Source organism: Homo sapiens, chromosome 7, assembly GCF_000001405.40.
Source record: "Homo sapiens chromosome 7, GRCh38.p14 Primary Assembly".
In the NCBI taxonomy this organism is placed as follows: Eukaryota; Metazoa; Chordata; class Mammalia; order Primates; family Hominidae; genus Homo; species Homo sapiens.
The window spans coordinates 146,874,074-146,892,389 of NC_000007.14; the positions used below are offsets into that span (position 1 = coordinate 146,874,074).

Genomic DNA, 18,316 nt, shown 5'->3' on the forward strand with positions numbered 1-18,316 from the left:
TCAAAAAGAGGGTTACTCTTAAATTCTCGGGAGAAGTGAACTCAGGAAGAAGGAAATATCAAGTCTGACGTTAAAATCTGATGCCAGGAAATAGGAACTTGTATATAAAAGATCCTGAATATAGCTGATGTTTAGGAAAAGTTTATTAAAGTGAATTCACCTAGGATAGAAAACAATATGGTATAATTAGTAGTTAAAATGAGGATCTATTAGAACTTTGTCTAGATAAACAAAAGAAATTAATTCATGTTTATTTTTTATTTTTATTTTATTTTATTTTTTTGAGATGGAGTCTTGCTCTGTCACCAAGGCTGGAAGTGCAATGGTGCAATCTTGGCTCACTGTAACCGCTGTCTCCAGGGTTCAAGTGATTCTCCTGCCTCGGCTTCCCGAGTAGCTGGGATTACAGGCACCTGCCATCATGCCTGGCTAATTTTTGCATTTTTGTAGAGATGGGGTTTCACCATGTTGGTCAGGCTTTTCTTGAACTCCTGACCTCAGGTGATCCGCCCACCGTGGCCTCCCAAAGTGCTGGGATTACAGGCGTGAGCCACCACACCTGGCCTCATGTTTCTTTTTATAACAGAAAATTGTAATTGTGTGACTGTGTAACAAAATTGTAATTGCAGCTATACTTCAGTTCTTCACTTAAATTGTTTGTCAAGTTTTGACATGATTCTTTCAATAAAATTGTATGATAACACGACTTCTCATTCTGCTTCTGTGGCATTATCACCTGAAAGTCATTTCTGCAAAGAATTATTTCAGAGTCTTATCAGTTTCCCAATTAGCGCTTTTGTTTATTTTATATTCAAACCATTTTATTTTTAAAAGCCTATTGTGCAATCATTCTTGCCAATTTCTCTTGATCAGAATAGGTCTAACTGCTTTGCACATGTTTTGAACTGTTCTACATCAACGTCATTAACTTTGGAAAGACCTCCTTCTTTTGTAAAATTTGCAATTTCATTATTCAATTTACATTTATTTGCATTATAAGTAGCGAATAACTAAGAATATATTGACATGAAAGACAGACATAGGCTGAAAGGCAAAGACAGGCTCTAGTGTAAAAAGGCAGAAAAGGATGATTTAATGGCATCTGAGATTGTAAGTGGCATTTTGTTATACATATTTTCATGAGAAGCTGAATTTGGTTCTCTACACAAACTTATAACTGAAGGGATTCAGATAAATAATTCTCCTATATGGAGGGCCTCTGGAATAAACAAGATTATATCTTAGGATCTGACTAAAATGGCCTCAATGTTCCCCACAGCTTGATTAAACTTTACACAAGCTGCTGCTTAAATCTAGGCCCTGACCTCCCTTTTCTTAGAGCATTCCCTTTAGAAAACTAGTAATTGTAAATCCTTTCTCTGACTCTTTGAGATGTAAATCTTTTTTGAAAGTGCTTTGCCAGTTTTAAAACACGAAACTGTCTTTCTCAAAAGACCTGGAAGCCAGCTCTTCGAAATGTAAACATCAATGAAGACAGAGCCCCTGTCTTCCAGCTTCTGTGGGATAGCAGGAGCCTACATTTGAAGGATGCTTTGCTCCAAGGTGTAAAACTACCTCCTAAGAGGCAGTTTGCTTTTGGCGGGGGGGCAAAGCCAGTTAGGAAATACTGGTGGCCTAAAACCCAGGTCCTTTATGACCTAATTCTAGCTTTATAAAAATTTTTCAGCTTGGCCAGGTGTGGTGGCTCATGCCTATGATCCCAGCACTTTGGGAGGTTACAGCAGAAGGGTCACTTGAGGCCAGTAGTTCAAGACCAGCCTAGACAACATAGGGAGACCTTATCTTAAACACACACACACACATACACACACGCACACACACACACACACACATACACAGCAAAAAAAAAAAAAAAAAAAAAAAAAAACAAAAAACAAAAAAACGAGAAGAAGAACAAAAACATCTTTTTGGGGGCAGGAGTTGCAGTACAGCTCACTTTGACTTTTGGCTTCCCTCCTCTCTTACATTAAACTCCTGGCCTGTTTAACTTTGTTTGGCAGATTGTTTTGGTTTTTTGCTTTGACAGATCCAAATAAAATAATTAAATCAGTCAGGACTGAGAGATCTAGATGCATGTTGACTCTTAGGGAGTTCATGGGATCGTCACCAAATCTATTCTTGCATCACCTGAATCTTCCCAGGTTGAAGATGAGAGCAGACACTGAAGGTCATATTCTTGCTGCTGGCTTGTATTTGCTGCCAAGTCCCCCAGGGCATGTTCTTTTTCCTTCTGTGAATCAGGTCGGATTTCATATACCATTTTGTGTTATTTATTTTGGAATTTTTCTCTTAAAATAGCTCCTCCGTAAAGAAAGCATATTGTTCATATCATTGTGATTATGATTTCAGCAAAGGAGATAAAACTCTATAATAAAATAAATGTCCTTCCTAGAAAAATATTTGAGTTGAATAAAACTTCAGAATACTGCCAGGAATATTGTAACTTTCGTTTGCCTCAAAATGCTATTCTGATCCTTCATCTTTCATTATTAATCCATTCAACAACCATTTATTAAACCCTTACATTTGTGCCAGAACCTTCTAGACATACTGATTTAAAACATGTATTCTCAAGTTGCAAAATCGCCCTCCAGATCACCCTGGGTCATTGGATCAACGATACAATAATGTGTATTGTTGATTATCAGGTCAACAATGATCCAATACACATTATTGGGTCAAAATTGTTGACCTAATTCACATTATATGTGTTTTTCACTCAAAAAGTCTGGAAGGCTCAGAAAAGACTGGAGGAAATGCACATTTTTTCCTCTGTCATACCCATGCATATTGGTTGTTCTAGATTAGATAATTAAGTAGACTTAGTGCAAAAATCATTTTATTTTCATATTTCACTATTTAGGTTATTGGTATATTTGTAACTTTTTACTTTTAACTACTGCTTTAAGCGTTTTTCATTGATGACATTAAGCATGTAAGAAATGATCTTAATGGTTATTTTGACTATAGATATCAGTGTCTTTCTCATTATGTGCTTTGTATAAGAAAGGACATAAATATCAAGCAAGAAATAACAAAAGCATTGCATTCAGAAACAAGAACATACAAGTTAATGAAAAGAAGGTAAAACATAATTTTTTCGACCATTAAAAACATAGGAAAGGGGCCAGGCATGATGGCTTTTGCCTGTAATCTCAGCACTTTGGGAGGCTGAGAGGAGAAGATCATTTGAGGCTAAGAGTTCGAAATCAGCCTGGGTAACATAGTGAGACCCCCCCATCTCTATAACAAAACTTAAAATTAGCCTAGTGTGGTGCCATGTGCCTGCAGTCTTATCTGCTGGAGTGGCTAAACCTGGAAGATGGGTTGAGCCCACAAATTTGAGGATGCAGTGAGCTATGATTGCCCCACTGCACTCCAGCCAGGGTAACAGAACAAGAGCCTGTCTGTAAAATATATATATATATAAAATATGTGTATATGTGTATATAAATAATATGTGTATACTATATATGTGTGTGTATATGTATACATATATACATATGTGTGTATACTATATATGTGTGTGTATGTATGTATGTGTGTATATATGTGTATATGTACATATACATATATGTATACATATATATGGACTTTTAAACTTTTTTAGCAGCTCTATGGCTTTCAGTGCTATTTGGATATTTACTTTGAATGAAGCAAGATTATTTGAGAACTGTTTATATTTCATGATGTCACCTTCCATGATAGTTTTTCTATTATAGGAGATTCTCAGTTCATTACCCGACCATGATGACAAGTGAAAACTATGAATTATTTTCACTAAATCAAGTAATCGACTTTCATAAAATACAGTTCATTAATGTTTCCTCTTCAGCATATTGTTTTAAGATAGTCCTAAGTCATTTTCAGTTCTTTAACATAATAAAATACTCAATAGAATACATTAAAAGAGGATTCAGAACTTGTATTCTTTCATTTTAAAATGTCTCCTGGAAACACAATTTACTTTATTTTGGTGTTTATTCATGGGCCAACGTCCCCTAATTATGATAGCTGTATCTTGAATACTGTTAATGCAACCACTTCAATTTGAGTGGTAGATATCTTCTATTTATTCTTCTAGATCCACTCTCCACATTTTTTACCATAGTATTTGGCAGGCTGCTGACTTCTGTCAGTGACATTAATTGACTTCTTGTCCTTGATCTTCTTCTTCCATTTGGCCAGTGGCAAACCCTGGGAGGAGAGGGGAAGGAAGAAAGTGATGATGTATTATCTTTTTTTTTTTTCTATAATGCTAACTTCATTTTGCTAGTCACTTAGGAATATTTTTTTACAGCTGAATTGCTGAGTAAGACTCTACATTTTCCCTTTCCCACAAGTACTCTTGAGTTTTTTTTTTTAATAAGATTATACCAGCCCTATGTTTATGTTAGAAAAGATGACCTAAGGTAGGAGTTAGAAAACCATATCTTTTTAATATCATAAAGCAGACGCTGTCATTCTCTTTTGAAAAAATTATTTCACTAGTTTAACTTCACTCTCTGAATGAAGCCCTAACTCTTTTAATTGCCAGGAGGCCCTTCATAAATTGACAGCGCCTGTTTCTCTGACCCCATTTCTGTGGACCTCCCCTGCCCTCACTCCACTCTAAGTACATCAGCTTTCTCGCTGCTTCTCAAAAAAGATGAGCTTTTCCTTGCCTCCTGACCTTTGCAACTGTTTGCCTTACCTGCCGATCTTCTTACGCTTTCTTCCACCCTCTCCACTCCCCATTGAAATGTCCAACTCAAAGCAGCTCTGACCACTTTCAAGAACTCCTAGTATCTCTCTAACCCCTTATTTTGTTTTACTTTGCTATAATGGACACTTACCTTTTGCGAACTTTATTTGCTCATTTGTTTAATGCCTTTCTTCAACAAAATATCAGTTGTGAGGGAAAGGACTGTCTGGGTTGCTTTCAATCACATTTTCAAACCAAGAAACACTCCAGGCTTGTAGTAACTGCTCCATAAGTATGTGTGGAATGAAATATAATGGAAAGCAGATGCCTTCATAGGTTGACTGAGGCAGTGTCTGTGCTGCCATTTCATTGCCCTGTGGCAGGCATCATTTTCCCATCACTGCATACTTGATTTGATTTACTCTTCTGACTATTAATTCTAGTTACTATTATCAATAGATGTTGGCATAGATGATAAACTTCCTTTCCACTCTTTCTACATTTAAAACCATTCTGGATTTTTTAAAATTAGAATTAAATGCATCCAGTTATATAAGATATTCCCAACTTTTATATATCATGTTAGTAAACATGTTTTAAAATTATTTTAATGTTACATTTGATAAGCTGTCAAGAGGCAGTGTTGAACAACTTTATATTGTTCTCTTTTCTATTAATTATCCTTCATTTTCTACAAGATTTAAATAAAATATATAATATTAAATTAGCATTTACTATGTTACAGACACTCTTATGAGTGTTTTACAGGAATTAGTTCATTTAAGTCTCATAACACTCCATGAAGTCAGTACTCTCACTTCCAAGATATGGGAATTAAGGCACAAGTAATTTGTCTGACAAATGCCTGGGTCCAGAACCTGGCAGGGACTGTGGAGCTGAGAGCCTTCTCCCAAAATGAGAACAGCTTGTTTCTACATCTTAGCTCATGAGCTCACGGTCAGTGCTCAGTGAATGTTATTTTTCTTTATAATAATAAAGAAAATAAAGATTGTATTAGTCTGTTTTCACACTGCTGATAAAGACATACTGGAGACTGGGTAATTTATAAAGAAAAAGAAGTTTAATGGGCTCACAGTTCCACGTGGCTGGGGAGGCCTCACTATCATGGCTGAAGGCAAAAGGCACATCTTACATGGTGGCAGACAAGACAGAACAAGAGCCAAGTGAAAGGGGTTTCCCTTTTAAAACCATCAGATCTCGTAAGACTTATTCACTACCATGAGAACAGTATGTGGGATACCACTCCCATGATTCAATTATTTCCCACCTGGTCCCTCCCACAACACATGGGAATTATGGCAGCTAAAATTTCAAGATGAGATTTGGGTGGGGACACAGCCAAATATATCACAGATAATAATGAAAAGTTTATGTCCTCCACAAATTCACATGTTGAAAGCCTAATACCTATTGCTATGGTATTTGGAAACAGGAGCCTATGGTGATTAGGTCCTGAAGTTGGAGCCTTCGTGATGGGATTAGAGCCCTTATAGAAAGAAATTCATAAAAGCTCCTTTATGCTCTCTCTTTCTGCCATTCGAAGAACACCAAGAAGGTAGCCACCTGTAAGCCAGGAAAAGGGCCCTCACTAGGAACCTGACCATGCTGGCACCATGTCGGCACCATGTCTTAGAATTCCAGCTTTCAGAACTGTGAGAAATAAATGTTTGTTTAAGCCAAACATAAATACAATTAAATAAAACTTAAAATTAAGTAAATAAAGATCTTACCTGAGTAGAAAATTCTACACAACAGTGGAGTTGAAATATGAACCCAGAGGCCACAGATGGGAGCTTTTTATTACTTCATTATGTTTTCCCTCTTTATCATCCCAACTAAACCATTTAAGGAGTATATTTTCTAATACTTTGATGACAATTAGGTGTGCAAGTACAAAACTCTGCTGTGCTGTGCTTGGTTTTCCCATTTATATATTAGTAGAAGGAGAAAAACATTTTGTCATCTCTTTGGAAACTCAAACTTACAGAGGGCTGAATATTTGTTTTATTATCTTTTAATCTGTTGTCTACAAAATCTCAGGGGATGAAATATTATCCTCATTAGATTCACAAGGACTTACTAACTTCAGAAATGTCTTCAGAGATGTGTTTGCAGAATTGTGGCTTTGTGTTTGCATAATAAACCAGCAGCATTTAAATGACATTCCTAAATCTGTTGAAGCTATAATGTGAGCAAAATTAATATCTGAGAGATGTTTATAAGGAATTATTTTTGTTACCAGCCAAGTAATTATTGGCATTGAGTAGATTCCAGGAAAGTCTTTTAAAAATCCTTCCAGAATTTTGAGCCAAGTCTGCATTCTTTGCACTGCCATCCAATAGAACCCTATCACATGGAACAATTCTAATTCCACACACGTTACTCTAGATCTTAGGTATTTTAACCTACAGGAAAAGCCAATAAAACTGTATTGGTTTTCTCAAGAATAAACTGAATAATCTCAAATATGTAAACCAAATTTTTCATGTTTTATTTGTAAAAGCAGGTTATAGAATTGGATGATCTCTAATTTTTCTTAGAGCTTTAAAATTGTGGGATTTATTAGGATATGGCAAATATTTTCATCAAATACAGTATCTTATGGAAACCCAGACATCATAAGAAGTCCTACTTACAAAATCATCTTAAGGCCCTGCCTGATTTTTAGCCCAGTCTTTAATTATTCATGTGTGTTCCATTTATTTATTTATTTTGGGTGAGGAGGTGGGGGTCAAGACCCTGGATTGGGATGAAACTTCAAATGCTACTATTGGTTATGTTTTGCTAAAAATGGATGTTTTCTGAAAACATGAAAAATTTATGATTTTTTGACACAATAAATGGAAAATATGGATATTTCAAAAACTAAGGGAAAAAATAGCAAAAAATATATACAAGTTTTACCCCCAAGAGTTATGATCTCTGTCACTTGTGCTTGGTGAACTGATCCCTATAATTTTTTTTTTTTTTTTTTTTACAAAATATAAAAACACATTATCTTCTTTTATTATTTTTCTACCTTTTATTTTAGAGTCAGGGGATACATATGCAGCTTTGCTACAAAGGTATATTGCATGGTGCTGAGGTTTGAAGCACAAATATATTCGTCGTCTAGATAGTGACCATAGTACCCAACAGTTAGTTTTTCAACTCTTGCCTCCTCCTTCTCTCCTTCCTCTGCTGGTCTCTAGTGTCTGTTGTTGCCATCTTTGTGTCCATTTGTACCCAATGTTTAGCTCCCACTTATAAGTGAAGATACGCAGTATTTGGTTTTCTGTTCCCGCATTAATTAGCTTAGGATAATGGCTTCCAGCTACATCCATGTTGCTACAAAGGACACGGTTTCTTTCTTATGGCTATATAGTATTTTAGTGGTGTATATAAACCATATTTCCTTCATTCAACCCACCTTTGATAGGCACGTGGGTTGATTCCATGTCTTTGCTATGGTGAATAGTGCTGTAATGAACATATGAATGCATGTATCTTTTTGGCAGAATGATTTATTTTCTTTTGGGAATATACCCAGTGATAAGGTTTGGCTGTGTCCCCACCTAAAATCTCATCTTGAATTGTAATCCAAATTATAATCCCCATGTGTTAGGGGAGGGACTTCATGGGAGGTGATTAGATCATGGTTCCGCCATGCTGTTCTCATCGTAGTGAGTGAGTTCTCACGACATCTGATGGTTTTATAAAGGCCTTTCCCCCCTCTTCACCCTGCATTTCTCTCTCCTGCCACCATGTGAAGGATGTGTTTGCTTCCCCTTCTGCCATGATTGTGAGTTTCCTGAGGCCTCCCCAGCCATGCAGAACTGTAAGTCAATTAAACCTCTTTCCTAAGTTACCCAGTCTTGGGCAGTTCTTTATAGCAGTGTGAGAACAGACTAATATACTCAGTAATGGGATTGCTGAGCTGAATGGTAGGTCAGCTCCTAGTGCTGTACAAAAATAAGTAGCATTTCTGTACACAAATAATGTTCAGGCTGAGAACCAAATCAAGAATGCGATACCTTTTACAATAGCTACAAAAAGAAGAAAATATCTAGGAATACAACTAAGCAAAGAGCTGAAGAATCTCCACAAGGAGAACCATAAAACACTGCTGAAAGAAATCAGAGATGATGCAAATAAATGGAAAAATATTCCATGTTCATGGATTGAATCAATATTGTTAAAATGACCACACTGCCCAAAGCAATTTACAGATTCAAACCTATTCTGATCAAACTACAAATGTCACTTTTTGCAGAATAGGTTATGTACTTTTTAACTATTTGGTGTGTTACATAGGTACCGTAACTGTAAATTTGTTTTATGTAGTTGTTTATATAGTTCTAAATAACTAATGGACTTGAATTATTTTAGCCATGGATATGCATTTGTACATTGTATTTTTCAAAATTTTTATTTATTTCAAAACTGAAATACAGCATATTATTCTTTACAATGTTATTTCACAATATTCCCTATAAAGGTGTTTCCAATAATTTCAGAGATAACTTTTAAAATTATATTTAAGCTCCTGGCACATACTTCTGATAATTGCATTGCCTTTCTCTTTTCTTTAGTTGCTAGTAGTAATTCTCAAAAAATACGTTTTTTTCTATGTGTTCAAATTTGCAGTTATTGAGGTTTTAAAGGGAAGATTTACACATGTGTGTGCACATGCATATTTAAAAGAAAACAGTTTTTATTTTCATTGGAATATTCTCATAAGAACCAAATAAACTTTAGCTTAGAAATTTAGGACAACGAAGAGAAGATTTTGCGAGAACTCAGCAAATTTAAGTGTTTCTGTCTCTGCTCCATTCCTTTCAAATGCATAAGTACATACAGCCAATACACACACATTATCATTTGTGAAATGCCATCTTGTTAGGTTATAATAAATGTACTAAAGAGTTAAGAACATCAGGACAGAATGTTTAAAAATAATGGCTCTAAACAATTGATCAAAACACTATTTTAGTATAAAAAATTAGTTTCTCCAATTTCTCCAAAATCATCTTATAGATTATTTAGAATAATTTCAAGCTGTTTTTTTAACATCAAAGAGAATGTTAATGTAAGTTGTTCCACTTTCTGCTAATATATAAAATAATCATATTATGTTTGAAGTGTCATTTATTAGTTTTTTTGGAAGAAGCCATAGTTTATGACCTATCTTGGTTACTATTGATGTTCAATGAATTTTAAGCATGTAAATAGGGCATTTTCAATAGAAAAGTTCATCTGATTTCTAACTATTATTTTACCAGTAACAAACTCCGTAATATAATTGTCCCTGGGTATATGCAGGGGATGGGTTCCAGGACCGTCTGCCTATACCAAAACCCAAATATTCAAGACCTGCAGTTAGCTCTGTGAAATCCAGGTATATGAAAAGTTGGTGCTCCTGATATGTGGGTTTTGGATCCAGAAAATACTGTATTTTTGATCCCCACGTTTGGTTGAAAAAAATTTGCATATAAGTGGACCTGCACAGTTCAAATTTGTGTGTGAGGTTCAACTGTGCTTCTTTTCTTGCATATTATTTATTTGCAGGTACATTGCAGCTAAAATTGGAGGAAGAATAAATTTGACAGGTAGCAATGGAATAGTGGAAAGAGTGGTCCCTATTTTGGCTGTTACTACTATACAGCTCCTTCTCTTCTTGGGCATCTCGAAACCTCCCAGTGCCATCTTAAGAACTGAGTGAGATGTTTCCTACTCAGTATGTATTGAGTATCAGCTATGGGTTAGATGCTGTTCTAAGCATGGAGAGTACAATGTTCCTTGAGGTAGATGAGGTCCCATACATATGGGATTTACATTCAGGTGATGAATAGGACATTGCACTACAGGATGGGGCTGGAGGGCCCACTGGAGCATAAGTAGAGTGCAACAGAAGACTTCGAGGAGAAAGCCCATGTCTAACTGGGGCCAAAATGCTGATGAGCAGGAATTAGTCAAGCAAAATTAGTCAAGGAAGGGAGGGGAAGTAGAGAGTAAATTACTTTGTAAATGATAGGCTGCTACTCAAAATAAAAAGTACAATAATTATTATCATTCTAAAAACTTGTAGACAAAATTATAATTTGCTTTTCTAGCTCCCTTAAAAATTTTTACAGCTCTCAATGTCATATATGCCTTTAAAGGTAAGTCTCTACAAGCCTAATCACTGCATTTGATAAGTTCAAGAGTTTATAATCAATGGTGGTCTAATGAAATTTTTTAAATGCATGTGTATCTCCCAGACCCCCAAACTAAAAATTTCATGGAAAAATATGTTTACATGTTAGATGAGTTATGTTAACTACTTATGTTTAGCCAACTAGTTGTGTGGTTTCTTGGAAAACTATTTTCAGAGGACATAGAAACAATGTAAATAAAATGAAATTATAATTTGCTTCCGAAATGTTAAGTTACTCTTAACGTCTTTGGATATTTACATTGTTGATTCCAATAAAATAAAAAACCTGCAGCTTACATCAAATAAATCTTTTATTTTTTGCATAAGAAAATTTTTAAAAAATGAATTATTAACAAGTTAGTGGCAAGAAACGAGAATACCAGGGATCCAGTAGTCTAATGTAAATAATAATATAGGGGAATGTCACATGGGTAATTAACTTTGAGGCATTTCCTGGGATTTAAACAGTGTTAGGAAATTTGGCAAAACAAGCTCTTATATAGCTGATGTAAAAATGCACACACGTTGGCATTGTTTGAATTCTGCCACTTCCTCTAGTTTGTCCTTAAAAAAGCAAGAGCAATACATGATAATTATAGTTAATATAAATGGATATCTTTAATTATTTAAGATTTTAATCTTACAGAGAAAGTTTCAGCAATTATTTTTATTGTCTTCAGAACTTCTTTTTGCAAGGAAAGCAATTAGTTGGACATGGATTGAAACGAGCCAATAAGAAAACTTAAGTGATTCTATTTGTCATGTTTTCAATTACCGTATTGTCTTGGAGTGTGCTCTGCCAGTATTTTAACAACTGACTTATCACTTGAAGTCAAAGATTCTTTTCAGCATGAATTGTAAACTAAGCATTTCAATAATATGTGAGTGTATTTTGCACAGGATAGAACTTGTCGTGTTTCATTATGCTCTTTAACTCTGAATATATGTAAGTCGGTGTGTGTGTGTGTGTGTGTGTGTGTGTGTGTGTGTGTGTGTGTGTATGTGCTTTCCCTTTACATTTTTAAGATTTCAAGAATAGACTAATTCTAGTACAAATTACTCTAAAACGATTCCTTGTAAAGTTAACCCAATTGTTTCTCTGGCTGCTTTTATAAAAATTTGAAGGTTTATTCACCCCTCAACCCTGCAATCAAAACTGATTTTAAAAGAGCATCTGAAGCCTAGAGCTGGAGGAATGTTTTTTCATGTGTTTTATTTTGGTAATTACTTTCTTAATTTGTCAGGATTTTTCTGACTCTAAGGTTTTCCCTTATGCTATCAATTTTTTGTTCAGTTTTCTTAAAAAAAAAAAAGAAAGAAATATCTTTATACCAAGATAGCACCAATCTCACTTTCAAAGCTGCCAAAATTTGCCCTCCTACATTCTTTTATTGTTTTTAATGTTTAATTCTAAAACAGACAAAGAAAAAAATTGCAGCACTATAATTCTTTTTGGTAGATATCTCCAATGATTCACATTTGTGCCCTGGTATATTCAATAAGACTACTAATCTTTGCCTCACAGATCCATGGAAAGAATAACATGGGAGGCTATTGGGACTGCCTGGACTGTATGTTTTTTTCTGTTTCTTAATCTAATATTCTACCAATCTCTCTTTAAAAATGTTAATTGATGATCACATCTTTTTCTTTTTAGGCATTTCAAATTTTGTAACATTAGTATTCTGTATGCTTAGTGTGCCAAGTAGGAATCTGCTTAAAATCATCAGGAAATTTTCATACCAACGTGTTCCTCAGTACCAAAATTGTACAATCATCACATGGAATAAGTTTATCTAGTATAGCCTCCTATGTCATGAGTGAATTCTCTTTATGCGTGAACACGAAATGGATTTTTCTGTATTTGCTTGACTAACACAAGTGTTATAAACTCATCATTTTCAAGCAACTCTTCTTGCTGGAAAACTTTTGCTAAATTCCTGTAATTTGCCAGTGAGTGACGTCTGCCCTGCTGCTCAGTGGATCATAGGAAATAGACCTAATATTTCTGCCATGTAAAAACCCTTAACTCCTTTATGGTGTGTCTGTATCCCCTCATGCTTCTCTCCATTCCCCAGTCTCCTTATTTACTCTTCTATCCATCAGACTAAGTATTCATAAAAATCTTCATTTTTTTCTATCTCAGATATCTAGATATCTACATAGTTTTTTTGTTTGTTTGTTTGTTTGCGACAGTGGAGTTTTGCTCTTGTGGCCCAGGCTGGAGTACAATGGCGCGATCTTGGCTCACTGCAAACTCGCCTCCCCAGTTCAGACAATTCTCCTGCCTCAGCCTCCCGAGTAGCTGGGATTACGGGCGCCCACCACCACACCCAACTGATTCTGTTTTATGTTTTGTTTTGTTTTGTTTTTTTGTATTTTTAATAGAGACAGGTTTCTCCATGTTGGCCAGGCTGGTCTCCAACTCCTGTAATCCTAGCACTTTGGGAGGCCGAGGCAGCGGATCACCTGATGTCATAAGTACATGGTTTTTATTTATCTCATTTAATTGTAATTATTTTACATTAATATCCTGCAGCCTGACCTTCATTATTAATAAGTATGAGTAAAGCCATTGAATCAGTTTTTCTTTCACATTACCATTTATTTTTCTGTATTTTTTTTCTAAAATTTCTTTCAGTAAGAAATTTTGTTGAAATCCAGGCATACGGTCTATATTCCCCTGTATTTTCTCTAATTGCCTTGTCAAAACAAACAAAAGAATTAAGTTGAGTCTGGCCTTAATAAACTCAGGCTGGCTTCCTGATATGCTTTTTTTCTAAGGTGTTAATGCAAATTTAGCATTTTATTCTAGATGAGATTGTATTCACAGATGTACACTTCACAGGTCATTTCCTTGACCACCCTAGCATTTCTTGTATAACCTACAATTAGTCAAAAAGAATTTATCTAAGTTCTTTTCTTATGTTAGGGTGTCCACTTTTAGTCTTAGAGATATAAACTGACTTAGGGTTGTTCTGTATATGTTTATGTTATCTTTGATAACCTTGATTTTTAGCTCTGACTACCAAGTATTTAAGTCCAAAATTTATTTACTTAGAAAATCTAGCCAATGAATTAATCTATCATCCATTGACATTAGATCATTAGCCTCAAGGACCAGGTTTTTGTGTTTTTTTCCCTCTTCTTACTCAAACAGAGTTCCAAATCTTTGAAAATTATATAATATTTCTTTAAACAATGTTATTTACAACATGGTATCATTTTATTTAACCTTCATTAAATATACTTTGGTTTTATTTTGGGCAGAACCTGATGATATCTGAATAGTAGAACTCGTGTGGAAATTTTCTCAATTTTATAACGTTTCTATTTTTTTCTCTCCAGAATATTTTATACATATATGGCTAACAAATTAATTTTACCTTACTTTCTATCACTTGTTAATTAACTTTCATTTACCTTTTATTGATATATTGGTAACAATTGTATTTTACTCTATCATTTCATATGTAAGGTAACTTCCACATCATGTGTTTTTCCTTATCAAAAATTTAAATTTAACTATATTCTAATGCTTTCCTTTTTAGTTATCATTAAATTGAAATAATCAAGACCACCATTTCCTAGGACCTTTTTCACTTCTATTCTGCCTACCCATTTTTTTTTCATCTTGATAAGAATTTGGTCCAGATTATATAGTATATACATACACTGAAATATTATTCAGCTTTAAAAAACAAGGAAATCCTGTCACTTGAGACAACATAGATGATCTGGAGGACATTATGTTCAGTAAAATAAACCAGACACAGAAAGACAAACACTATATGATGTTACCTACATGTGGGTTAAAAATAGTAAAACTCACAGAGAGTAGAAGAGTGGTTGCCAGGGGATAAGGGGAAGGGGAAATGGGGATATGATGGTCAAAGGGGGCAACATCTCAGTTATGCAAGGTAAATAAGTCCTGGAGAGCTAGTATCAAGCACAGTGCCTATAGCTAATGATACTACGTTGCATATTACAATTTCCTAAGTAGATAGTTCTTAACCACAGAGACACACAGATACACACATGCACACACAGAAAATAATAGAGTGGGAGGAAACATTGGGAACTGATAGATATGTTTATTGCCTTGATGGTGATGATGGTTTCACCAGCACACTTATCCCTAAACTCATTGCATTGTTTACATTAAATGTGTACAGCTTTTTCTATATTAATTATACCTCAATAAAGCAGTTTTTAAAAAAGTTTTAATTAGTTGCTTTTTCTGTTTTTCAAAAAATGTTATAAGTATAGCTTTCTTATATATATTTAGATATTTCTTCCTAGGGTCATTGAATCTAAAATATGTGTAAATCTTCTTTGATACAGAGAAACTCCAGAAATATGGTAGAATACAGCAATAGACTTCAGGACGGAGGCCAAGTGTAAATTTAAACTCTACTGTTTATTAAATTTGTGGTCTTGGGTAAGTCTCCTTAACTCTCAGATGCAAGTCATTCATCTGTAAACAGTGAGATTCATAGACGTGTCTTCCCAATACTAAGCTGTATTGTGATATGACTTAAACCTCTATATTAAAAATGAGCTGTAATTTGCTTTAATTTACTATTTTATTCTGCATGGTCTTCTTATTTTAAATAAAATGTACATTTCCATTATTGTTTTTTAGTTGAATCGAAACCACTGAATCTTGATCATATCTAAAATTTTACTTTTACATCTTCTTGTTAAAATTACAATACCTTGTTCTTCATCACTTATTCCTAGTGTATAGACTACGGAGAACACAGAAAGTTTTCTGAAGCTCCTTCCTATTATATTATCATATAAATTACCAGGCATGTCTGTCTTGATCATACTTTCTTCATCAATCCCCATGTCTTTCTTGGTATCCTGTTTTATAATTTTATCTAGGACTTTTTTCTCACTCCGATTCTAATTTAGATTTGAGTATTATTGATGAGATTGGAAATTCTCCAGGCAGGCATTTTCTTTCTCGTCCTCATTAGGAGCTCTCAGGTGCCCTAGCCAAGCGTCTATCACTTGGGTATATTCATGGTACAGAAAGCCAAATCACATTATGTGCTGCCAGCCAGCAACTGAGACAGAGATCCAAGCTCCACAGCATCCCTTATCTTCCAAATTTCCAACTTTCATTGGAAGCAAAGATGAAAATGCCACCTGTGTCCCAAGGTCCTTCATATTTAAAAAGTGGGAAAATGTATTAAAGATATGCCCTGATTTTGTCTTCTACCACGACACACTCATAGGCTATCTTCAGATCTCGACAGTATTTTATGTAGAATGTTATTTTATTTCACTCTCTTCAAAGTAGTCAGTTGAAGCTGGTATCGCTGTCCTGACCACAAGTGAGAAAATAAGCAGAGTTGTGAAGTGCTTTGCCCAAGGACCCACAGATTTTTAAAAGTAGACCAGATGGAGAATCCAGATCAGGTTTCAGCCTTCATTTCCAGCCAGCTTTTCAACATAGACATGGCACCACTTTTTAAAATTTTCCTGTCAGCTACTGATTATATTGTGTATTTCAACCAGAGATGCCATGTTTTGAAATATTTGTCTATCAAACAAACCACATCTGTTGAGTTATAATTTATTTTCCACTTTTGCTAATCAAGCATGTATAGCTTCTCATCATCATTTTTGATGATCATGAGCTAAAAAACAAGTTATTAAAAATAAGTTAAATAAACCTAATCAAAATAAATGTATCTTGGTATTTACATCAGTCATTATACAAGTAAATGCAAATTTTCTTTAGGCTTTTAAACATTTTGAAAATGACAATGGCTTTGTTTCCAACATGAGTGAACCAGTTTAACTGTGGTTTACATCAGCCTGTGTAACTATGATCATACATCATTACTTGATATTAGCCCTGGAATTAAAAGACAGATTACCCAGCAATCCCATTTCTGGGTATATACCCAAAGGAAAATAAATCATTCTACCAAAAAGACACATGAACTGGTGTGCTTATCACAGCACTATCACAATAGCAAAGATATGGAATCAACCCAGGTGCCCATCAATGGTGGATTGGATAATGAAAATGTGATACATACATATATATCTCATAGAATACTATGCAGCCACAAAAAATAAACAAAATTATGTTCCTTGCAGCAACATGGATGCAGCTAGAGGCCATTATCCTAAGTGAATTAATGCTGGAACAGAAAACTAAATACCATACACTATCATTTATACGTGAGAGCTAAGCATTGGGTACACTTCAACATAAAGAAGGGAATAATAGCTAGACACTGTGGACTACTAAGTGGAGGAGACAGGAATGGGTTCAAGCCTAAAAAACTACTTATTGGGTACTGTGATCACTATCTGGGTGATAGGATCATTTGTACCCCCAACTTCAGTGTCACACAATATACCCATGCAACACATCTGCACGTATACCCCCGAATGTAAAAGTTGAAATTATGAAAATTAAATAAAAATAAAAGACAAATTTGCACGATGTTTTACCCAGTATGTTAGCTGAAAATATGTAATGTTTTAGGTGAAAAAAGTCAGAAGTTATGCAAAAGATAAATTACACAGAAATTACAGGCATACATGAAATATCAGCTCTGTGTATTTTTTTGGCAGTCCCAAGTACCTGAATGAATATGAACAGTTTTTGTTCTTATTTTCTGGTGAATGATTTTTTACAATAATATGACATTATGAAGGATCTTCTAACATGAACATAACAACAGCAAAAATGGGCAAATGTCTCAAGGTTGTTAATGACAAATACGTGGTGGTAATCAATCAGTGTCAGCTCCCACTGTCACCAGCTGGCATAGCAGGCCTCGTCAACACAGCACTCTAAGAAACTACAATTTACCTATGAAGTTGGCACAAGAAATGGTATCCATTTTTTTATTCTTGTTATAACTTTTGTATTTCTGACAATGTTTGTGATATCATTTTACATGAACCTCATACACATTCTACTACTCATTGGCACCTCTTCCCACCTATTAATGTTTTGGCCAACATAAAATTACTGGTTATCTATTGCTGTATCATGAACCACTGAAAAACTTAGTAGCTTTAAACAACAGCAGCAATATTTATTTTACTCATGAATTTACAACTTGGGTAGAGTTGGTGGCAGCAGTTCATTTGTGCTTTGTGTGCCATCAGCTGAAATGGCTCAGCTTAGATTGAAGGAACTTCTTCCAAGACGGCCCACTCAATGGCTGGCAAGTTGATGCTGTTATCAGCTGAGAGCTCATCTGGGGCCTTACTTTCTCCTCATGTGGGCATTTCCATAGGTTACTGAGACTTTGACAGCACAGTGCCTGATCCCAAGTATGAATTTTCCATGACACAGGAAGTGAATGCAGCCAATCTTTTAGGTCCAGAGCCAAGAAACTGGTAACCTGTCACATTCCAATCATTCCATTGGTTGA

The 18,316-nt window shown here is 34.9% G+C and overlaps 1 protein-coding gene across 2 annotated transcripts in view, besides 1 other annotated feature; it reads left to right on the forward strand.

Moving 5' to 3' along the window:
• The window catches only part of CNTNAP2 (contactin associated protein 2), a 2,304,198-nt gene that overhangs the window by 757,273 nt on the left and 1,528,609 nt on the right, over positions 1–18,316 (forward strand). The gene's annotated exons all lie outside the window — the stretch shown is intronic.
• Positions 1,156–1,672: an enhancer, noted in NCBI's record as "NANOG hESC enhancer chr7:146572321-146572837 (GRCh37/hg19 assembly coordinates)". NCBI's record gives its function as "activates a minimal SCP1, AML or CMV promoter by ChIP-STARR-seq in naive H9 embryonic stem cells {active_cell/tissue: H9 hESC(naive)}" and the evidence as "EXISTENCE:reporter gene assay evidence [ECO:0000049][PMID:30033119]".